The sequence below is a fragment of the Homo sapiens genome, chromosome 11 (genome assembly GCF_000001405.40).
Source record: "Homo sapiens chromosome 11, GRCh38.p14 Primary Assembly".
NCBI lineage: Eukaryota > Metazoa > Chordata > Mammalia > Primates > Hominidae > Homo > Homo sapiens.
The window spans coordinates 133,210,510-133,234,653 of record NC_000011.10 but is presented as its reverse complement, the minus strand read 5'-3'; the positions used below and the strand labels follow the sequence as shown (position 1 = coordinate 133,234,653).

General features: G+C 44.8%; 1 protein-coding gene across 4 annotated transcripts in view, besides 1 other annotated feature; it reads left to right on the top strand.

Moving 5' to 3' along the window:
* The window catches only part of OPCML (opioid binding protein/cell adhesion molecule like), a 1,117,521-nt gene that overhangs the window by 297,848 nt on the left and 795,529 nt on the right, over positions 1 to 24,144 (top strand). The window lies entirely within an intron of this gene.
* Positions 18,303 to 18,802: an enhancer, noted in NCBI's record as "H3K4me1 hESC enhancer chr11:133085747-133086246 (GRCh37/hg19 assembly coordinates)". NCBI's record gives its function as "activates a minimal SCP1, AML or CMV promoter by ChIP-STARR-seq in primed H9 embryonic stem cells {active_cell/tissue: H9 hESC(primed)}" and the evidence as "EXISTENCE:reporter gene assay evidence [ECO:0000049][PMID:30033119]".

Sequence of the window (24,144 nt, the reverse complement as noted above, 5' to 3'; positions counted from 1 at the left end):
GAATGATGTATGAGGAGGGAGATGACTAGCTGCTCTGGCCATTCTCTGAGGCCAATACAAGAGGAGTAGTCACGGCCACACACAGTGCTGAGCTGCGCCATCAGGAGGCCTGTGCCCAGTCTAGGCCTTTCCAAGAAAAGTCCTCTGCAAGACCCTGGCCATTCGCCTTTCCTTGCTTTCCACTGGATGACCTGCTTCCCTTTCCATGTTTGTAATGAATCATTAGAATGGTGGTTAGGTTTAAAAAGGCCAAGTTTGTACTGACTGCTGTGGTCCTGCCTAGAGAGAGAAGAAGCCTCTAAGTAATCCTCCAAAAAGGTTTTAGGGCCATTTCCAGAGACCAGAGGTTTGGTTATTCATGGAAAGAAGTAAAAACTGTGTTTTTTTTTTGTTGTTGTTGTTGTTTGGTTTTGCTTTTTGTTTCTTTTTTTTTTAGAAAACAAAACAAAATTTTAAAAATGGATCTGGAAGAGTAGGATTTGGGAAGCAATTATAAGTTTCCATCAATATGGACAAAAAGTCAACAATTCTATTCTAATCCCTCTCTTTATAACAATACTCCCATTGTCTTGTTGATAAGGGAACATCTATTTTATGACTTCTCCAATCTCCTGGTTAATGCAGATAGCTGTTTGGCTCTGCAATTGTTACATTATCTAACATAGCTGGAACAGTGAGCAAGTTAGAGATTGGCTGCCTGGTGTTACTCTGGAGCTTGTCAGTGGGGAGCTGGTCAATTGGTCTGGGCAGGGGGTGGGGGATGCTCCATGGACCTTCTAGTTCTCATCTGTGGAGAAGGAAAGACCTTTCCTCTACTTTCTGAGATTCTGTGGCTAAGGCCTATGGATGATGCTGACAAAAGACAGATTAACAGGAGAAAAGCATGCAAATTTTATTGGAGGTTAGACATTTTTACGGGCAGGGGCTTCATAGGAAGAAGTGAAAACCCTAATGAAGTGGCTAGACTTGAGACTTATATACCATTTTAACAAGGAGCCATAAAATGTGGAGATGTGACAAGACAAAGGATAAAGGGATTTGAACAAGGAGTAGTAAAGTGGGGTTGACTCAAAACTATATGGATAAACTAATGAGCACTAAGGGGTGTTTTAGTTGGGTTGTTTCAAAATTATATGGAGAAACTAATGGGCACTAAGGGTGTTTTAGTTGGGTTGTTTGTACTAATTTACCATGGCATTGACTCTCCATCCCCAGTAACAGGAGCATTCTCCTCTTCCTGGTACAGGGAGGGCACCTTTCTCTTATGCCCTGCTCGTAGACAGAAAGGGGGATGGCAGAGAATCCTTCCCACATCTGATGTTTCCCAGTTTCCTTCAGCTCAAAATAATCAATAGGCCAAAGTGGCATATTTGGGGATGGCACGTTCTGATCCTCTGAACATCCTTCCTACAAAGGGTGGTATAGCAGCTGGGAGGTGCAGTTGCATCTTCTCCCCAGTCTGGAAACTCGGCCCCTCTTTTGGTCCTCAGTTTCTCTGGATATATTTTCACAAAGGTTGCTGTTGATCTTTTAGGAATAAGCTTAGCTGCTACATGTCCAGGATAGCATTTGCAGGTTAAGTATTGCCCACTGATGTCTGCAAAACCAAGCTGGAGGAAGACCCACCCCCCAAAAAAGTCCAGGTACCCAGTTCCATGACAGTGGAAGCAGGTGTTATTTAGCTGGAGTCAAACAGCACCCCTGATGCCATCCCAACTACAAAGGCAGTATATTCTAATTAACTGCAAATGCTTTGCTCATAAAGCTGTCAGCACTGGGATCTAATGTCTGTACTTTTAATGATGCATTTGATTAGAAGGTAATTTTATTCACTTGGTGGCAGTCCGACCTGTTTGGTGAGGGTCGCTTTTCCCCTCCTCTTTCCCCCACTTTTTCTCTCCTATTTGAAACATTTATGAAGTTGTGATGCTCAAAATAATCTAATAAGTAAATAAGTAAATCCATCAAAGCAATGTCACAATGTCTTCTCACCACCAGCCTGTGTGGGTGTGCATGTGTGTGTGCATGTGCTGTGTCACATAACAGGATAAAGTGAAGAGTGAGGTGGTTTTTTTTTTCTTTTAATTTCACATGAGATTCACACCTGGAATCTCTTCTTTTATAACCTTACATTCTCTTCACTTTACTCCAAGTCCTAATAACTGTCATGACTTTATAATGCATCACACTTTGCACATTGTTTCCATGTTCTTTCATGTCACTTATGCCTCACAATAAAGCTATGACATAGTTCTACCTCTGATGAAGGAACAGAAACTGGGAGATTTTATTACCTCTTTGAGAAACTCAGAGTAATTCAGGAATTTAAAACTAGACCTCAGTCTAAACTCTGCGCTTTCTCTACCACACCGTATGGTTTCTCATCAAAGAGTAGTTTTTATCTTTTTTCCTTGAGAACCAAGTACGGAGCTGCCCACACTAGAAATTCACTCTTGCTGAAGGACATCTGGGGAGCCACTGGGGCTGGGTTCACAAAGCCTTTGGTCTGTCTGGGTCATGCCTTCTGCTATGGGGGCATATGGTGAGGTTCAAGGCAACTAAAAGTTCAGAGTTCTGAGTAAATCCAGCAGCCTTCAGTGAATTTGTTTCATCTCTCTTCCTCTCCCTCGTCCTTCCTGAGGAGGCTGGGGAGTCCCTTCCTTGTAGGATCCTAAGCCTTTTACATCATGTGTCCATTGCCCTTCCTTGTAGGATCCTAAGCCTTTTACATCATGTGTCCATTTTAATCTACTGACTTCCCCACTCCCTGCCTGCTTCTCCCTCCCCTCTCCTTACTTTCCTTGCCCCTTCTCCTTTGACAATAAGAGCTCATCTTCATGGAGGGCTTACTGGTTGCATGTTCTTTACATGTGTGGTCTCATTTAATCCATGTGTAATGTAGGTATAGTTATCACCCCATGAAGGAAACCACATCTCAGGAGGTTATGCATACTGCCCAAGGTCACAGAGCTGGTGAAGAGCTGCAAGTCTGACTTCAGAGCCTAAGGTCTCAATTACTGCTTGTGTTCATCAACATGTTGCTGGGAGGTATCTGCTGTGCTTAACACTGAGCTAGGTGCTGTGAGAGGTGCCAAAAACAGATGGGAGATGATGCCATTTTCAACTTGGGATCTCAGGAGAGCTCTGCCCTAAAATTACAATGAAATGTTTTTCCAACAAGACGTGACATCTTCACCTAGGAATCTTAAAACACCGTGGGGTGCAGACTGCCCTGTGCTGCCAACTCTCACCCCCTCTTTTTGAATTGAAAGTCAGTAAGGTTAAGCAGTTATGACATGTGAAGGGATTTGATCTTGGGTTTTGGGGTACAGGGGCCATTCTTTTCCCCATGCTGCTACACTGCCTGTTACTCATCAAGCGGTAGAAGAGGAGAGTCACTTGCTGTATCCAAGCTGGAGCTTAATTTTTTATCCTCAAATGTTTCATCCGCAGCTACTCCTTAGGTGGCTGATTATGCTTCAATGAAATCTCCATTTGAAGGAAAATCATATCGTATGTTAGAACAGACAAAGGGAGAGCTCATGACCTTGCATTGCTTCTCATTCTGCCTCCTTCCTTGATATTCTCTTGTGCTGCTAGCGGGGAATTTGACACATTGAGGCAGACAGCCCCTTATTATTAAATCTGTTTGCAAATGTGTGGAAAGCGCCCTGCACACCCTCCCTGGTTATGAGAGGTGGCAGATCCGGTGTCTGAATCACAGGCTCCCAGAAGTATTTGCCTTCCCTTTTCTTCTCCCTTTTCTTCACTCAGATTGTCCACATTTCAGAAACAGTGGGGATACTAGTGCCAGATCTGCAGAGCCCTGGAGCAGAGTCCTGCAACATGGAAATGCGGCACTTTGCGAAAGTAGACAGCTCAGGAAAATGGGCCTGTCCTCAGTGAAATGGGCTCCAGCTGGCCCTGAGGTGCTGTGATGGGGTGGCCAGGCTGAGGCTGCTCCACTGTCTGCATGCCATCTACTTTTATGATGCCTTTTATTGCGTGCGACTGATTAACTGAGTTATGGCCACCAAACATTCTAGGAATGCGAAGTGCCAGATAAGGTCTTGTTAAAAGTAATAACTTCATAAACTAAGAAAGTTTGGGTGTGGTGGGGGACTAGAGAGAAAACCTCTTGTTTCAGTTAGGGTTCAAGGCCTGTGCTTTTGTTCCTTAGGTCAGCATCCCTTCTGGGTCTACAGGAAAGTTGAGAAAGGGGAGGCAGAAATAGAAACGAGTGACAGCAGCTGGCTGTCCAGCACCTCGCCTTGACCATAGGAGTGGGAGGGTGAATGCCTTTGCCACAATCTAGGGCTTATGAAAGGCTGTCACTTAGCATTTGTACCTCTGCCCATGAGCCCCACCAGCATCACCACGCTTCATGACACCATGAGCCAAGATGAGTGTTCCCCTTTCCACTGAATTTGGCGAGTGGTGTTTCCACACAAATGCGAAAATGTATTCAGTTCTTCATTCATTCAACAAGTATCACCAAGCAGCTAACTGTGTCCTTGGAACTAAACTCTAAGACCACGGTGAGTAGAAATGCATGGTGGGACGCATTGGGAAGCTTTTTCTTTTTTAATCCTTTAAATTGATCATTTTTCTGCTTCTGGATAAAAATCTAAGTAGGGCATTTTTATGAAATATCTAATAGAGTCAAGCTATTGCCTTGGGCACGTAAGTGAGAATACGTGCATACAGTAGAGCTTATTAGACAACAAATGATGTATTCACGCCACATGTACATCCACACACACACAATAAAACTGAAAGGGAAATACGCACTAACTGCGCACAGTAAAGGCTTTGGACAGGTCTGGGAAGACTTCCTGGAAGAAGTGAAAACAAAGTGCGGTCTTGTGGGATGCTGAAAACTTGTCCAGCAGTTCCCCCTTACCCTCAGGGAATATACTCCAAGCCCCCCAGAGGATGCCTGAAGCTGCCAACGGTACCAAATCCTGCATATACTATGTACATCTTTTTTTTCTTTACAGTTTCACAGATTTGTTGTTACTGTAGATCTTGGTAACCTCAGCATACAATTTTTTTTGTCTTCCTATTAATTTGAGAACGGTGAGGGAAAATGCATGGTGGGATGCATTGGGAGCCCTTTTCTTTTTTAATCCTTTAAATTGTTCATTTTTCTGCTTCTGGGTAAAAATCTTAGCAGGAAAAGGAAAATCCTTTTCCCTTAAAGGAAGTACTTTACAGCTTCTCTTTGACATATTCAAACTGACAGGTTTTGAGCCATTACGAAGTCAAATAAGAGTTATTTGAACACAAACACTGCAATACCAAGACAATTGATCTGGTCAGGATTTTCCAAATAATATTTTCAGACCATGCCAAACCACGGTTAAAGCGGGGGACTACCGTATTTAAGAAATAACCAGGCTTTGGTTCAGAGCTGCCCTCCAATCATGAAATGTATTTTAACTGAATGCTGAGCATCCTGTCCTTGCCCCGGGCAACCTGGTAACAGCAGCTTTTAACAAAAGAAAAGCAATTAAACAGGCCCAGCTGGCTCTCCGGGGGGCCTTTGCTGTCCCTTTCATGCCCTGGCCTGCTTCTGTGCTGGGCCTGCTCCAAGATGAATATGAAGCCTCTTCCTAGTTTTGGATTTTTTCTGATAAGAAGGCCTGAGCACAAGGTGCAGAAACTTACCGAGAATTACGCGGTGCCACTGGGACACTTTGGTTTTAAATTGAGACCTCAGCACATAAAAAGTCTGCCACAAATGCTGAGGTTTGGCTTCAGAAATTAAGGGCTGTCACTTTAAACTGATTTCCTTTTCCTGGACCTGCTCCTCTTGGCCCAGCTTGGGCAGAGGAGAAGGGATATTTTAAAGTGACAGGTTTAAACAGCCTCCGCGTGTGCGGTGCAATCATTTTTCATGCGAAGCCTCCTGGGCCCGTGCTGAGGGGCTCTGCAGGAGCCAATCTCCTTCCATAAATTCGTGGGAGGCCCCAAGCTGCCTGGCAGCGAGAGCAGTAGGAGGGGCAGCCCAAGCGGGGGCAGGTGGCAAGAAGCAGAGCTCTAGGACGGGGAGGCCCGGCAGGGCGCAGCGTCCTGGGAGGGGCCACACGCTTTGGCGCTGTTGAGCACCAGCGGGCACCTCGGCTTGTGGCTGGCCCGCGAAGGTGCTGAAGGGACTGTGGATGAGTTTGAAAACTCTCTCTGAGATTCTGTTTCCATGAGCTATAGCGGAAAGAACTGGAATTAGAAGCAGAAAACTAGGAATCTAGTCCTGTTTTGTTAAGTGTTTATGTATGCTGTGTGACCTTCACCACATTTAACCTTTATGAACCTCGGCCTCCAGGTTTCCAACTGTTTCTGTCTGTAAAACCGGGGTGTGAACACCTGCTATGCTCACCTCCTCATGTTATTATGGGGAACAGCTGAGCGGGTGAAGGGACCATGTCTTGTAAAATGCAGTGCGGTACCAGTGAAAGACGTATACAGTGTCACGGCAGCAGCCACGGTAGAACTGGAAATTGCCCAGCATAGCAGTCTCTGGCCGCAATTATTCAGAGCCAGCACAATAATTAATGAATGGGACATCTCCCATCCCAAGGACAAAGGTCTCCCAATAAAGATGAAAACCTCACCTAAGAAGTTGGATCAACCCAGCCCCAGCTCTCAGGGCAGAGTCCCCAGGTTCCCAGACTTGGTCGGGGCACTCCACTGCTGCTCAGGAAATGGACACTGGTCATGTCGCGCTCTGGGCCAAAGCCTGACCCAACTTCCTTTTGCATGTGGTCACAGGGCCCAGCGTTTGCACCGCAGGGCATCTTAGCGATTAAGTCGAATGCTTCTTTGCTGGGACCCCTAGGAGACTGTAACTGCAGCTCCTGGCGATGAAAAGGCACTCTCTGGGGAGGCAGGTGGCCTCCTGGCTGCTGTCTGGCTTTGCTCTGCAGATGCCCTTCACCCTGGAGGGCCACTGCATTTCCAGACAAAGAAACAGGGAATCCAGCCTGAGGGGGAGAATGGAACGGCCTTTTTTTTTCTTTCCTTGATTTAAAATCCTGTGATTTTCTGAGCAATTCTTAGGTTGCTGGCTGTGCTTCACAGCCACCGGTATATTTAAAGTTTCGGTATTAAAGAGCTCAGCAGCCTCTCCCAGGAGGAAATCACCTCCCCAATTCAAGTCAGCCAGGTGCCCTCTTGAGACGTGTGGGATTCGTGTCCTCAGCAAAAACCTCTCTCTTTTCAAACTGGGAGATGGCAGCACACCGCCCTATTACTGGAATAGACACATTTATGAATTTCAACATCCTATTAGTGGTGATGATCTGACAAAATCACAAGAATGGAGATATTTGGGTGTACAGCTGACAGCTGATTTATGTGCTTAGATGGTACCAGGATGTAGTGTGCCTCCAAAGAAGCCCGTGAGGAGCCGGTGCAGGGTGCGGCTGGGGTGAAACAGGGATCCCATGCCTGGGGCACAGGCGCCATCCTCGGAGTTCACAGGATCCCTCCGGGGCCATTGGTATCCACTCAGCTGAGGCAGCAGCACAGAGGGTGTGCAGGGGCGAAGGCTGGTGAGGACAGCACCCCCCCCTAACACGACGGTCTCCTTGAAACAGGTTCGAGCTGACACCGGCACATCAGCCGAGGCAAATTCTTTTCCTCAGATGCAATAATTTAACTGGAATTGATGAAATGAAATATATTTTGGAATCACTATCAATCCCAGTGAGACTGGCTCATGACAAGAGTCTACTGAGCTATATGTGTCTATGAGTGGGTGCCAAGGGACTCTCTCTCAGGGTGCTGGGTGGACGTGGTCCTTGCTGTTGTTAAACTGCGCTGGTTTGGGCTCCTCTGGGCTATGTTGACTGTTTATCCAGCTCCTCCTCCTCTCCCCTAGGACAGAGTTACTGTGCTCTTTATTGGCTTTTGTGCCCTCTGAAGCTCCCTCTGTAAGAGAAAAATTGAATTGGTCCCATTAGCTTGATTTTAGTAGTGATAGAGAAGGTAATGGATTCGGGGCTTGCTTGCCATTTAATTTAGATGTTAAAATATCACATGTGATTAATCTAGATACATTATTGCCATTGCCACTCTGAGCTGGCCATGAACAGGAAGAGATGCCTTCAGGTCATCATTTAGGAAGTGTCTAGTTAATTAAGGGAAGAGGACCGCCATGTCGGGATGGAATTCCTTCAGGGATACAAGAAAGAGGTTGGGAGGAGTTTGTCATAGTAGGCTCTTTGGATCACAACCATCAGCATTTGACTGGGTAAAAAGAAGGGGGCTCTGTCCTGGCTGGAGTGGAACACCCCTAACCCCCCAAAACCATAAATACGAATCACGGCATTTTTAGAACCACAGATTATAGCTCCATGAGGGCAAGAGCCAAAAATGAGGTTAACCCTGTGTCCTCCAAGTCTACTCCAGTGCCTGCCAAGGGGCAGGAGGGGGAGTGGAGTTCAGGTGGTGTGGAGACATAGGGAATATTTGTTGAAGGAATCATAGCACTGGAAGAAAATTTGGGGTACATCCAGTCAGTCTATATCCCCGCTTAATTATCTCACTCATAGAGGGCTCTGCAGTGACCACAGGAAATTTCAAATCCCAGCTCTGTCACTTAATTGCTGTGCCAACTGGTGCAGGTAACTTAGCCTCTCTGTACAGTTCCCTCATCTATAAAATGTCATTCCTAATAATACGTGCTTCATAGGGCTGTTTGAAGACTGAATGATGTAATGCATGGGAAGCTGTTTGAAGAATATTTGGTATCTATCATAAACACTTAAATGTTAATCACTATAGTTACTACGTGTTGTTTCCATCTTGCTTTTCATTAATCCATCCTTTTCCTAATTAAGACTAGAAACTTCATAAGAGTTCTAAATCCAGTTTGCCATAACTTAAGGCCCTTTTTCCTATACTGGCCTCACAGAGGTAACACAAATCCTTTATCAAAACTACCTGACTGAGTGCGGATAAGTCCTGGGCTCTCTGTAGGCCTCAGTTTTTCTTTTGTTTTGTTTTGTGTATGCAGACACAGAACTAGATGATCTCTAGAGGCATCTTTCAGCTCTGTTGTGGTGATTGTGGCCAGTCATGGCAGCTACGCTTACTGAACACCTATTATGAGCTAGGCACTGTTTCAAGCACTTTCCCGTGTTAATTAATACAGCACTCGCATTGGGGAATTTGATATCAGCACCTTCATTCTAAAGATGAGGGAAGCGAGCTGCTGGAAGGTCAGTCAGGTCACGGGCCGAGGGTTGCCCAGCTGGTAGGCAGAGGTGCCAATGTTTGGATCTAAGAAGATTCACTACTCAGACCATGAGCCTATAGAGCTGAATTAATTCTGTGGTTTTCTGTTACTATGATTTTGAGAATATTTCTGAACTCAAGGTGAACTGAGAAATCAGAATCTCTCTACTCTGTTGGCTTTATCCAGTGACCTGACCTTGGCACCAAAGAATATTTTCCATCCATAAGTAGCAAAGTGCCTGATTGCCAAATAAATAAGAGAATATGAGCTACTGTGAAAATGCCCCAACGAGCTGAGTTATTACTACTGTGTCATAATTACAGCAAGAATAATACACATTTACAGAGCACTTCATGTCCCCCAAGTACTTCATGGCTGTCATAATGAGGCAGCCTATTGACAGATTCCAAAGAGATGACTGCAAGCGTTGATTTCCACTCTTCAGTGCTGTGAAACTTGCAGGTACCTCTGAGCTTGGGATGGAGGGTCAGGGAAGAGATATGGAAAAGCCAACAAGGCCAAGCCTAGGAGGATGATGGAAAGAGGATTACCACCTAATGGTGAGAAAGGCAGTACTAGCTCCAAATTCCTTGGGACTGTATAAATCAAAAGTTAATTACTGGTAGGACCCCCATTTGTACTTTCATTGCTCTGTTTACATTTTATGAAGCCATCTGTTATCATTAATATGTTCAAAGTCAGTTTTGTTTTATTTGTAATGATACAGCAAAAGAAATAGCAATTCTTCCTCAAGTGGGAGAAACCACAGGCCTGGGGAAGGAAGGCATCTGGCCCGGGTGAGCCCTTGCCTGGAATGACAACCATCTCTTTGGGCTGGGTTCAGGCAGGATCTGGGCAGGCTACAGGGACTCTGGCAGCTTTTTGCAGGCTCAGTCTCTTGGAGGGAAGCTTGGCCCTCTAAGCTGAGGCATAATCTGCATCTCTGGGATGTGGATAACTTGTTAAGAGTGGTGCAGTGACAGGCTGAAGAACAGCGGAACAAGCCCACCAGCTGCCCTTTTCGGGCACGGAGCTGCAGTGAACCCATCCAAGATATCACCATCTCCAACCAGGCCCATCTGCAGGGGCATCCCTGGGGCCACACACATGGATGGAGCGTACAAGCCATCTTGTTCTTTTTCTCTTGTTTCGCTTCCCTAGGACACAGCTGAGTGACCCCTTTGGAGGTGGCTTAGGGAGACCAGAAACCACCACCGGCCACTTTTGGCTCGGGGACTAATGGCAAAGTGCTCCTTCCTGATCCCAACCCAAAATGAGCAGCTGCTGGAGGATTACAAAGCATTGGACCTTCTCCTGTTCATTTTAAATGTTATCTCAGCTGGGCAGTTCTTGCAAATGAGTCCATCACCCTCCCCTTCCTCTCTAGCTCCCTACCATCACCACCACACACTCTACCCAAATACACTCGGGCCAAAACCAGGGCCTACAAGGAGTGCACATTAACTAAATTGCAGCTTACTGGCCACGTTGGTGGTGTTCCCAGATTGAGTTCCTCTGGCTTAACACTCAGATGCTAATGACAGGAGCTGGTGGGTCAGATGTGGCCAAGGGACAGCCTTCAAAAATAAAATGGCAAGAGCGGGCTTCACAGAGCTTCGATTTTAGGCTAGCTCACTGGCCCGCAAGTAAGGTAAGGCAGAGATGCATTTAAAACAAAACGAAACAAAACAAACAAAACAAAACAATGGAAACATCTTTCTGCCACAGGAAAACTTGTACTTCATAACTGTTTCCAATCATACCCTGAAGGTTTCAGAAACACAAAACAAAATCTTTTATTGATTCTGCCGCAACTGGAATGTGGTTTCCTTTCTCTAAGTGCTCCCCTGGTGCAGTTTCTTGCCTCTGACCCCCGTCCCCATATTTTTCCCGACTATGCCTCCTCCTCCCCTCCAGTTTTTTCTCTGCTACCAGATATGAATGGCAGAGGAAAGGATTAGAGGCTTTGGACAGGAAAAAGAAACAAGAAAAATAAAACAAAACACGGCACCTGCTTAGTCGTTTCTCCCAAAAGCTACAGTTGATTGGGACCAGAAAGAATACTCTGTCCTTCTTTTCCTATGTGCTGTCCTGTTCCTCTCCTTTGCTCCTCATTAGTACCCAGAACTGGTTGTAAAGGACTTTTCTGTGCAAAGCAGACTCCTGTTAGAAGCCATTTCCAAATCTGAAATCATTGCACTGGGCGGTGAAGACAGACAATGGTTAGGCCACTGAATTCACTAAATGGACATTGGGTAATTGAGACACTTCCTTCTGGGGTCAAGGACTGTGGTTTGGTGCTGGGTCCCCACCCAGGGAGGCACCCTCACTTTTGGCTGAACTGGTTGGGGTGAGGGCTGCCCACGTCTTGGTAGATTCTGCTTCTTGCACCCATGGTTGTAGTTCTAAGGAGGTGGGAGATGTGGGATTCTGCAAGCGAAATCTAAATGTCCCAAGTACACAAGGCTGGGACCTGGGGAGGGCTAATCGGGTACTTCTTCTCATTCCAAGTGCTTCCCAGCCTGCTCTTTCGTCTCCTCCTGTCACTGCAGAGCCCGTGTTTGATTAATGACAGGGCTCTTAGTCCCCGGCTCGGCCCCCCTTTGCTCCCCCCACCTCCACGCATGTCCATTTTAATTCTCTCCTCCCTCTTTTGGCATCTGGTTTATTTTGTATATAAATTGCTGATGCAAATGTCCAAAATAAATTATGCTGAATAATAGATGAAGACAGCTACATAATTTATAATGCTAGAGGCCAGACAGAGCTGGACGGGCTGAGTTCAAGCCCATGGCCACTTCCCACAACCTGCTGGGCTGGTGTTTATATCCTTAAGTGCTGGAAACAAACACAGCCTGATGACTGTAGCTCAGACTGTCTTCTTCGAGGTGTGTGTCTGTCCCTAGAGTGGATGTGGTCTCCCCAGTCCAGGCTGCAGCCCGTCAGTGAGGAGCGGCCACAGGAACAGCATGTGTCATCCCCTTCCTCAGCTCGTCCTGTTGGCTTTGCCTTTAAAACAGACCCCAAGCCTGACTTTCCCCCATAACCTCTGCCACCACTGCCTTGGAGAAGCCACTTTCACCTCCTGCCTGGCGAGTGAACAACCACCCTGCATCTCTGAAACCTCTCCCTGTTTTCTCCTTTATAGCTGGCCTGTATGGCTGCAGCTTTAGGGTGCCCTTCCACTCACCTTCACATGGTGACCTGGTCATCTGCAGGCCCCTGAATTTGCATCTTCTTCCCTGTCTGGTCTCTACAGCCCTGCCCATCCACAACCCAGCAGCCATCCTTGAGCATCTGGTCCTGCTGGGCACACAGTGACTACAGGGCATAGATTTGGGGATTCTGAAGCCTGTCCGATTACTGCCCTGAGCTTGGGAGGGTATACACTGGGAGGAACTAGAGCTGGCATTGACAAATGGGAAGAGAAAGCTTCCTTCAGCTTTGTCACCCCAGAAAGCCAGTTCTGCTCACATAAGACATCTTCAGAAGAAGAGAACATTAGTTATTTTTCCTGATCCTTGGTGTCTGCTCTGATAATCGAGAATTGTTGAAATGGCTGAGATCACAACATCAGTCTGATTGGCTAACAGGAAATCTGAGTTGTGTAATTATGAGACCAAATTCACACAGGTCAAAACTCATTAGCCAAAGTGTAAAAATAGCCTTCTGTACAAATACAGCATTCTCTGCAGTCACACTCGCTCAGCATAATTCCCTTCTCACCTCAGGATAATCCAGAGGTGAATGCAGCAACCTCCTCCCCGTGCACCCCTCACTTCCTGTTCAGAGACACTGCCTTGCACCTTCACACAGGGGCGGGTCTTGGACGTGGGAGTTGTGATTCACCGGTATGGACACCACAGAAGAGCTTCAGCGTTTCCGAATACCCCCCACCATGGACGAGGCACTGTGCCAGCACATGAATAAGTGCTATCAAATTGACACCTTAAACAACTCAGGGAGCTAGTGTTAGCTCCACGTTACGAAAGAGGAAACTGAGTCTCAGACCAAGCGACTTTGCTCAGGTCATGCAGTTGTTATGTGAAGGTGAGAAAGGGGCCTAGGATGTTGCAGAAATGATCAGGGAGCATGAGACTGAGGGGACCCAGCTTTCCCTACGAACCAACCTGCTTCGACCAAGTCACTCTGCAGACAGAATGTGCTATCCTCAAGTGAGCAATCACCTTGTCACTGTGCCATCACACACGGTGGCCGGCTCTGTCCCAAGCTGCTAAGGGGGTGGTTGACGGGGTATGGCCAGCCAAAGACTCAAAAGTGCTAATAGACTTTAGCTGTGTCATATAAAGAGAGAGCAGCTGCACTCAAGAAGGCCTCTGAGCATTACAAAATAGTTTGGGGATCTAAAAACGGAAAGCGGGTTCAGGCCATGAAGATGGTTGCAGAATTATTTTAGATTTTCATTTCCGACAAAAAATGGAAGGGCCATACAGCCGTGAGATTAGTTCCGTCCAATTTCGAGTCAGTGACGCACCACTGAGGCCTGGGGATCTTCCATGGCTAAGCAGAGAAACCTGAAGGAAACAGTTCTCCAAACGGACTCGAACGAAGCCGGGGGCTATAGATCGGGGGGCTGTTAAGCATTTAGAGGCTCCCGAAGCTCCTTTGGAGTCCAGAGCTTGAAAATGGAAGAGGGGGCAGAAAAATGGAGGAAGTGAGGGAGACTTTGCTCTCTGAGACTTTTGGGGGAGCATTTAGTGGTGGTAGAGGCAGTATACATACCTGTGATTTTAAGACCTGAAGTAAGAACATCCTCCAGAAACACGGAGCATTTGCTACCACAAGCAGGCTGAAAGTGCCTGCGTTCCTTGAGGAAGCATGTGCTGGCTTCAGGTCTGCAAGGCAAAGGGACATTCAAGGGAGACCTCTCCTCCTCTGACCTCTGACTCCCCAGGACTCCAGAGCCTGTTCACTGCCTCTCCCAGAGGCTGCTGTCTGGCAGCAGTAGAGCCCTGGGAAAGCAAGGGTGGCCTTCATGTGGAATAGCAGAACCTTGGCATGAGAACCTGTGCCCTCATCTCCTTATTTTTTGTCCTAATGGACTTCTTGGGTTAATGCCTGCAGCACAGCTCCTGCTGACTAATGTTTCTGCAAAAATCAGACATTCTTTGTGCTCTTCCTCTCAGAGACCAGATAAGGAAGCCACTCCCTCTCCTGTCTGGCAGCACTCTACTAGGACCTGGTGTCTGGTGCACACCTGCCTGGGCTCCCAATGTAGAATCCAGGGGAAGACACTCAAGTACCAACCTCCACTGCCAGTGTCCAACTTCCCAGCTGAATGGGAAGGGTGTTGAAGCTTCCTCAACAGTCTTAGGGTTGAAGGAATGAATGATATTATAATATTTGGTGAGGGAATAAGGTCACAGCCTGTCAAGGACACAGGTTAACATTAAATAGAAAAGATGTTACTGCAACTATCTCTGCAGCCAGGATCTGGTTGGCATGAGCAGTGAGCAGTTTCTCAATCTTAGCGCCACTGGCATTTTAAGTTTTATACTTTACAATCACAGTTTGGGAAGGGGGTTCTGTGCATTATAGGATATTAGCAGCATCGCTGACCTACCAAATAGATGTCTGTAGCACCCCCCTCCCCAAACTGTGATCATAAAAAAGGTCTCCAAGCATTGCCAAATGTCCTCCAGGGGGCACAGTTGTCCCCGCTTGAGAACCCCTGAGTTAAATGATTCTGGGCTCCTCTGTCAAGGGTCCCCAAAGTGAAGTCCTTGGGCAGGCAGCAGCAGCAGCGCCTGGAGGCTTGTTAGAAATACAAGTCTTCTCATCACACTGCAGACCTGATTCAGAATTCCTGACAGTGGGACCCAGGGGATGGATTATGTTTCAACAAGCCCTCCGGATGATTCTTATCCATGCTAAAATTCGAGAAGCATTGCTAAATGGTAGCCACTTGCCACAGGTGGTTATTTAATTTTATTTTATTAACTAGATTAGGCAAAACTAAAAATTTTAGTTTCTCAGTTTCTGTAGCCACATTCCAAGTGATCAATAGCTACATGTAAGTGGTGGCTAGTGTCCTGGAAAGGACAGTTACAGAACATTCCACCATTGCAGAACGTTCTGTTGGACTACATTGTAATGAAGTTGCTACCAAAATGTGGACGACTTCAAGAACCCTAAGACTATTTCTGGCTATCAGCCAAGTCCTACAGAATACTCACTGGCTAACTTATGGCACTGCAAAACTAGATATAGAAGTGAACTGAGAGAAGCCGTGTTTCTTCCCCAGTCATGCTTGCATATAAGATAGGTATCATGCCACTAACCTGCCCAGAGCCCATCCATGATAATGGTCAAGGCAGCTGGTCAGAGACACAGGAAGTCTGGAGTAAAACGCATAATATAGAGCACACCTTAATCTTACTTTAAGGCAATATGCTAAGGTATCAAAATAAAAGCAAGCACAAATTCAGCAAACACACCAGGGAGAACAAAGGATTATAGGCTTATGGGCTCAAGTGCTTTGCAGGGATACCAGGTTTTACGGTGGTATGACAGAGACTAGCCCATTCTCCTGCCTCTAGTAAGGGTCCATGTATAATTTCTGAAGTCAGATGAGTGCCAATTCCAAAGACCTCTGAGACCTCTTTGCAGGGTTCTCACTCTATCAAATCCATCCAGAGAGCTTAGCAGCTCCAGAGTAAAATGGGATAATCCTAATCACACCGTGTGTCCAGGCAATCCCTGGAGTAGGGTAGGCAGTTGCATGTGTGTCTCTGTGTCTCCCCTCTATGCCAGCTGCAGACATCACCAATGAATTGGGCTACTCTTCGCCGTGGACCCTGGATGCAGCCAGTACCAACCAGTCCAAGCTTACATGCACAGGAGGACACTAGTTCACCGTCTTTGTTTTTGAGTAACTCAAATTCTTGTACATACCTCAGCTTCTTTTTGGAAAATCCAAATATGACTTTCCTGTATGACAAGATGCTATAGGGCATTTCTCCTTTAGCGAACCAAAGAAGTCTTCCCTGGCTTTCTAAAGGCGATCACTTAACGTTTACTGCCCTCATTCCTTTTCTATCGACAAACCTTGTATTTCAGCACAAACTGTAATTCTCCTCTCCACAGTAAGTTATTGGTGTCTCGGGAACTTGACAGACCCAGTCAACATTAAAAGTGCTCCTAGATTGGTTTTTAGCTCTGCTTCTTAACTTGATTCCAATTTGGATTACACCAAGCCTGGAACTCTCCATGATTTATTCTCAACCAGCAATCAAATAAAACATAAAAAAAAATACACATGGCATTCCCACCCTAGTTACACAAAACCCCGGCGTGAAGCAGGTTCAGCAAGACTTCTTTTTTTGTTTGCTTGGGTTTTTTTTTTTGAGACAGGGTATGTCTCTGTTGTTCAGGCTGGAGTGCAGTGGCAGGATCATAGCTCATTGCAGCCTCCACTTCCTGGGCTAAAACCATCCTCCCCGCTCAGCCTCCCAGGTAGCTGGGACCACAGGCATGCACCACCACACCAAGCTAACCTTTCAAAATTTTCTGTAAAGATGAATTCTCCCTATGCTGCCCAGGCTGCCCTGGGCTCAAGTAATCCTCCAGACTTGGCATCCCATAGTGCTGGGATTACAGGTGCTAGCCACTGCACCTGGCCTCAGCAAAACTTCTTTGGCAGGAACCTGGTATTGAATGAAATCTGCCCAGCAATGAAAAACTCTTAAACCTCTGCCAGAAATCCCAGCAGATCGGTGCAGTTTGTCCCCCATCTTGCTCATCTCCCCTGAATTGGGCTGAAGAGGGCTTCACCAAGCAAGGAAATGCACAGGCAGTGGCCCAGGCAGCCGAGTACCCACCTCCATGGGCTCTCGTGTGGGGCAGAGGGAAGTGACCCAAAGGAGATTCATTCCTCTGGTCACCTTCATGGGTGCTGCAATCCTATGGGAAATGTCCTCCTGAGCACACCGTGGGTGCCCCACTGTGCTTTCATTAGAGAAGTGTGTGAAAACCTAAGACCAGAAGGTGAGCTTCAGGAATGCAAACCTTCAGGCCTTGAGAGTCCAGGGCTGGGAACAAAACACTGGGACCCCAATTCTGCCCATGGGAACGGGTGAGAATGATGAGTAATTTACAAAAACAAGGGTGTGCCAGTGGGTGCTTTGTTTTGGGGGGCACTGGAGCATCAGACCAGGGAGCTAGAAACGTCTGACCAAGAGAGGCTTCTGAAGGTTGACCAGAAAAAAGAGAGATGGGGGGTCTAGTGTGAGTGGGCTGCTCACCTGGAGGTGAGAGGCTGTACCTGCTCTCTGAAGGAAAAGGGCTGAGTTCTTCCCAAGAGGGCAGATGTGTGTAGCCAGTTGACTTGGGTGGAAAACTTAGTCTTTAGCAACAATCTGCAAGTTAAACCAAGCCAAGCCACATGTCCTGCTTAGCTCTGTAGTGAGGCCACACCCAGTATTTATGGCAATCTTCATATTTACATAATTATTTATGTGTAAAATATATATCTATAAATACATTACATATATTTGTATATATAGTTTCCTTTATACCCATACAAATATACATATGAGCACATATATTTACATATAAATACATATGCCCCAATAAAAAGGCTTAAGTATATATTTGAGTATATATTTGTTCATATGCATGAATGTACGTACACATTATTACATGATAGTTAATAAGCCATAGTCTTTGCATTTAGATAGTTCCAAGTTTGAATCCCAGTTCTGTCACTTAGGGAAGGTGTTTCCTTGTGTAGATTATTTAATTGAGCCTTAATTTCCTCTTCTGTAAGGTAGAAATAGTGACACATATAAATTACCATACAAATGTAAGGAATAAGATAATGAATATAAAATATACAAAATAGGTGATCAATGGCAGATACAGCTATTTATGTAACTAGCACCTCTGTGACCACAACCAGCTGAAGAATGAGTGCCTCATTCTCTTGGGTTGGTAGAAATCAGGGTGGGGGCTGGTAGCACTTTTATTTAAGGTGTTTTGAACAAATTCGTCTAATACGTACCATCCAAAGGGCTCATAAGAGGTACCTTTTTTCAAATCAAATGCTTCTATTGCAAGAATGGCTCATTTCTCTTTCATAACTGGGTGATTCAGAGGAGGAATTTTCTGTTTGGGTTTATAAAACACAGTTTCTGGGAGGTAAATGTCAACTCCAAACAAAGGAGAACTTCCTAAGAAAGTTGCCCCAGAGGTATTGAGCTCCCTATTACACAGGATGCTTCAGCAGAGGCAGGGCAATCACATACGGGAATCCGAAGTCAGATGAGGGCTGCACTGCGTGTTTTCTGAGGTCCCCTTGCACCTTGAAACCCACACATTCTGTGGCTTTTTAGAAGGCGCCCTCTGAGTGTGCTGTGCTGTGGTTTCTGTACTGCCTGCCCACCTGCCTCCCACCCCCTCCTGGTGGCCTCTATTCATCAGTTACAAGGCCCTGAAGGAATCCAATAGTGAGGAGGTGAGATTACATTCTGAGGAAATGGGTAAACTGAAATGGGGCTGGGATTGTACTCAAGCGGGCAGCCAGCTTCATTTAGCGGCTTGTGCAAAGTCTTATTAGGAAAATGCAGCCACCCAGAACAGCGGGTCTGCTCGTGCATGGTGGGAGGGGCTGGCTGGCCACACTGCAGGTGGAAGGCCTTCCCTTCCCACACTTGTACAGCCTCCTGCCAGGTCAGTGTGACCTGGGTTCTGCTCCCTCGGGGCATCAAAGTAGACGTTCTGATGCAATTCTGCCCCTGCCAACAAGGTCTGCTTTCTCTGAGCATCCCTCCAGAGGAATTTTTTGCTTTACCTCACTGTTTCCCCAGGCCTTTCCAGTTTTCTTTTCACCAATCTAAAGGTATAAAAACATGTCGCAGAGGACCCTGGGAATAGGACGTGGAATACACTGAGTACTGGGATTCGAACTGGTATCAGTGAAGAGAAATTGGGCAAATGACTTTTGATGTGCCTTTCAAACATCCAGGAAGATGATATCTGCTGCCCGAGAGGGCAAGGAATGAATAAGAATAGGTGGCAACAACATAAGCAGCAGCTGTAAAGCCTTTTCTTCCTAAAAAGAATGACTAGAGTTCATCAAATTCAAACCCCGTGATTAGTGGCCTCGCGATTTTAAAGAGATGGGTGTTTGTGCAAGTCTCAAATTATCAGGCCTTCCTCTCTCTCTCTCTCTCTCACACACACACACTCTCTCTCTCTCTCTTAAAATGTGACCTTTCTGCAATTCAAAGAACCATAAGCCTGGAAGGAAGGACGTCCAGTTCCCTGGTTTACAGCTGCTTAAGCCTTTGCCATCTGTGAAAAGGTGGAGATATTGAGAGATATAACTAGGTATATTTGTGACTATGGCAAGTTCTAAGATGCATGCTTATGCCATTCTAAAGGAAGCCCTGGAAATTTTCAGATGAAAAATGTCATAGAAGTTTGAGTTTCTGTAATTATCTATTTATATGCTCTGGGTGCCCAACGAGGGGTCAGAGATTGCCTCATTTGCTGGCTATATAGCTGTTCGTAAGTAAGTGTAATGTGACACACACTCTCTATTGGCTCGTAGGGATGGGAAAATCAGTTAGGTCACATCTGAAAGCCACTTTACATTCAGAGGTCATAAACCGAGAGGAAAAATAACCAAAAGTTTCAGTATTCAATTTGTTTACTCTGAGCAAAATGCAATCTCTTAAACTGATGATGAGAGGAGGATGAATGAGATGGAAAAGGCTTTTAGGAGCTCACTTTAAAAGCTCAAAAGGTGTCTGGGACATTAAATAGCTGTTAAAAGCTCTAGTTGGATAATTTAAGTGTAAATGAGTATGAACTATATGGATTAAATTTGCCTTAAAATACCAGTCTGAAAAATTATGGAAAGACTATTTGAGACAAACAACAGTTCGCCTTTTTTTCAAAACCTGAACATTACGAAAAAATAATTTTAGAGTTTCAGTGAAAGCTAAATGCAGGCAGATTTAACTGTCCCTAGTGAGCTTCCCATTGAAAGCCACAATTCAGTAATAATTATACCTACATTAAAATAAGTACATGTGTTGATACACACATACCACATAAAGTGTACAAATTTAGCCTAAGCTTTTCAAAGCTTTTTCTATCATAAATGACGTTAGATAGATATCGACAAAAATTCAGCCAATAAATCTGAAAATGTGAATTTAAAAAAACCTTCATAATCTGAAATAACAGTTCATTTGATCCTTTGGGGGATTTTTTTAATCTTATTATTAAAATTGGGAATGTTATGTCTTTATAGTATATTTTACCCACCAATTATTATTATTATTTTAAGGGAAAAGTGTTTCATCCTTTATTTCAAGGAAAGATTGTATATTATAAAAACAAATATTGTTATGCCATTGAGTACAGAGCTCACATCACAAACATTTAACCATTTTCATCATACATCTGATGATCTAAAAATCAAAATCACTTTGAAAGGCTTAAGTATTCTGCTATTTCTTAAAGATGATGTTATCACATTATAGTGACACGCTACTGTTTTAAAGACTGAAGTAAAAATGAGACCCAGTAATTTTTAACCAAAAGTGTATCATATCCTATTTACTTATTTTATAAGATCAATAAACATGATAGTAAGACTTGGCATTTAAACATTAAACATGTCTAAACCCCCTGAAGAGTATACCAGAAATAAGCAAGACATTTAGAATGCTTTAGTACTTCCAGTTAACACCATTTGTATCAGCAACTGCAATGTTGTAACTTTTAGCATCTCATGTAACTAGTCAGTAAGGAGTTTTTTAAGTGTAGGAGTGAGAATACAAGGACAGGAGCTATGAGAATGTCAAATTTTATACTTCTGTTAAAAACTCTAAAATCAAAACTGTTATTATTAAAGCCCCTCCATTTGCTACATTAATTTCTAAAGAGCATTAGTGTTTTTGTCTGAGGACAGTCACACTTGAAATAATGCTGCTCTAAAAGACCAAATTTTTAACTTTAGCTGTTACCTATAGAGATGTCTTTCTACATTAGATGTTCATTATGCAATGAGGTTATGTATGAAAAAGGATCTTTTAAATTATTCATTATTGTTATTATTATTGCTCTATTAAGGTCATCCTTTTGCTTGACTCTAGGACGTTTTCTTTAGAATTTAAACATGATGAGCAACATTTGGCAAAAAAAAAAAAAAAAAAACTCATTATGAATATCATGTCCTCTCTATTGCCCATGTTTTAGAACATTTTCTTTCTTAACTCATCAGGGTGTGTGGGTTCAAAAATAAAAGGAACCCAGCTTGAGAGATGAGAAAATTGAGGCACAGAAAAGTCCATGGTGTTGCTCTACATCATAGCGGCAGCTACTGGAGGTGTCTGGCTGCAGAACAACTTTCTACACTTTCAATTTCCCATGTTTCATTGTAATATAGCACTAGAATTTAAGGTGTCCAGCCCAGTATCATCAACATAATTGTTTGGAGCTTTTGAGGTACCACCAGACATAAAAGCTTGATGTGTGGTTTAACGGCATGACGCAGATACAAACGTGGAATTTTAGAGTATGGAAACCCATACAAAGGGTGCAGTGTCATGAGTTCACTCTTACCTCTCAACAGCTAGGGGGCCAGGTTGGGTCCCAAGGGGTCTGAAAGCTGCTGGGAAATCCCTTCATTCATTCAAACACTATTCTAAGCGAATGGATAATAGACACAGAGCCATATAATCATGGAGCCTCTGTTCTAGCAGAGGACAGACAATAACAACAGTCACAGTGAGAAGGTAAATCACAGAGGCTGTTAGAAGATGACAAGGGCTTTGGACAAGTGAGAAAGTAAAAGAGAGTAAGGGAGATCAAGAGTGCAGCGGGGTGAGCAGAGTAGGTTACAACTTCAATAGGGTGCCGAGGGTCGGCGTTCTGGAAGATGAGACAATGGAGCAAAGACTTGAGGAAGGTGAGGGGTTGACCAGGCATGGGGAAAGAGCTTTCCAGGAAGTGGAAGCAGGGCATACGAAATTCTTGATGTATTTGATGAACAGCAGAGTAGTCAGTGTGGCTAGGATTCAGGGGCAGTGGGAGAGTGGCAGGAGATGAGATCTGAGAGGAAATGGGAAGCAGGGCGGTAGATGATGCCCAGCTGTGTAGGCTGTCACGGACTATTAGGAGGACTTTGTGCACCTATCGGGGTGGTGGGCAGGAAAAATTGCTTTTGTTGTTGTCCTTGCTGGTTTGGTTGATTGATTGGTCATTATGATGTTGTGATTGGTGGTGGTGTGGGTACTTTCATGCTCAGGTTCCAGCAGGTGAAGGATCCTGACCCCCCACCTCACTATGCAGGTGTAACCCCACCCCTTTAAAGGCTCTGCTTAGAGTGATGGAGATTGTAAAAGTGACAGCTGGCACGGTCAATCTGCTATCAGGCTGTATGCACTAGGCTTGCCATCTGACAGCCCAGCGTTCATGGCTTTGTTTGAGTATATACACTAACTTATGGTATTTGTACTGCAGGTCTTAGAAGCAGACAGTCTTGGCTTCAACTTTGCATTCTTTAACTCCCTATCTTGAAGAGTTTGAGTCAAATGCTTATACTCTTGAAGGTTTAACTGTCTACTTTATTAGGATTGTTGTAAGACTTAAAAAAATTGTGAAAAGCGTGTTGTGATAATGGTGATGGTATAATAAATGATGATGCTCACGATGATTTAGTCCACACAGTCTGTGTTGCCACAAAGCCAGATGACTCCCTGGCCCCAGATGCCTCATGGTACAAGATATACAATTCCAGCTATTAGGGAAGGGCCTCTGGGTACCTCAGCTCCCTTCTAGGAAACCATGTTCCACTGTTGATGCCAAAGCATAGTTACAGAACCTTCGGAAGTGTTCAAGTTTTCAAAGCCCCTCCTCTGACTTATATGCAACAGTGTCTGAGGAGGGGTATCTCCAAGGACTCAAGGCTGCTGATTGACAATGTCTTATTGTAGTGCAGGAAACCCATCCCTGACAGGTGCAAGGCTCTGAAGCCTTATTGTTCCCAGTTTGAGAGGGAGAGGATTCAGAACTTCCCAGGGTTCAATAACTGAGGTAATCAATAGACTATTATGCTTAAAGAGTGGATTTTTAGGTGCTGGGTGCTGTGGTCTCAATTAGAGGCTCTAAAAATAACAAATGTCCACCACCTCACTCACTGGGACCCAGGAAACCATCACCAGAAAGCAGAACCTGAGGGAAATGAGTACATTAAATCATCAGAATTTGCAGAAATATTTGATTCCTTCTGGCAGGCTCATCAATCACGAATGATTAGAAAGCTGAGTTGCAGTGGGCAAGCCTCTGTTTTGAATGATGCCTCATTTCATTTCTATTACTAGGTGGTTATAGTTTGTAGAGAGACTTCTCTGCACATTTTTTTAATTTTTGTTTTTCAGCTAAATCCTTTCCTCTTACGGGAGTAAAGGGATTATGGCAATGTTCAAAAATCTGAGACAGATAAATGCTCCTAGAGGGCACCAATAAGTGTCAAGAGACCCAAAACATTCTAACCGCACACACCTCTGTACCAGGCACTACATTTAATCTTCTGTAGTCTCAAAAAAGGAGCAAGTTCAGAGAAGTTAAAAAAATGTCCGGAGATCATACCTAAGTGGAATTTGAGACCTGGTCTTTCTGAGTTAGGGTCCAGGTTCATTTCCCCTAGAAAAGAGCTTCATTCCACCTTCACATTTACCCCAAAAGAAAAAAAAATAGCCATGTATGTTGGAACCTTTAGCTCCTCTAAAGCCATTTTGTGGTCATTTCAACTTTGATGGAACAGGGGATGAGGAAGGGAACAAAGAAAAAATGTCCCTTTGAGCTCAGTTTCCATAGCTTTCCACTCAAAAAGGAAAGAGGTTCAGTCAAAGAAATACATGATACAT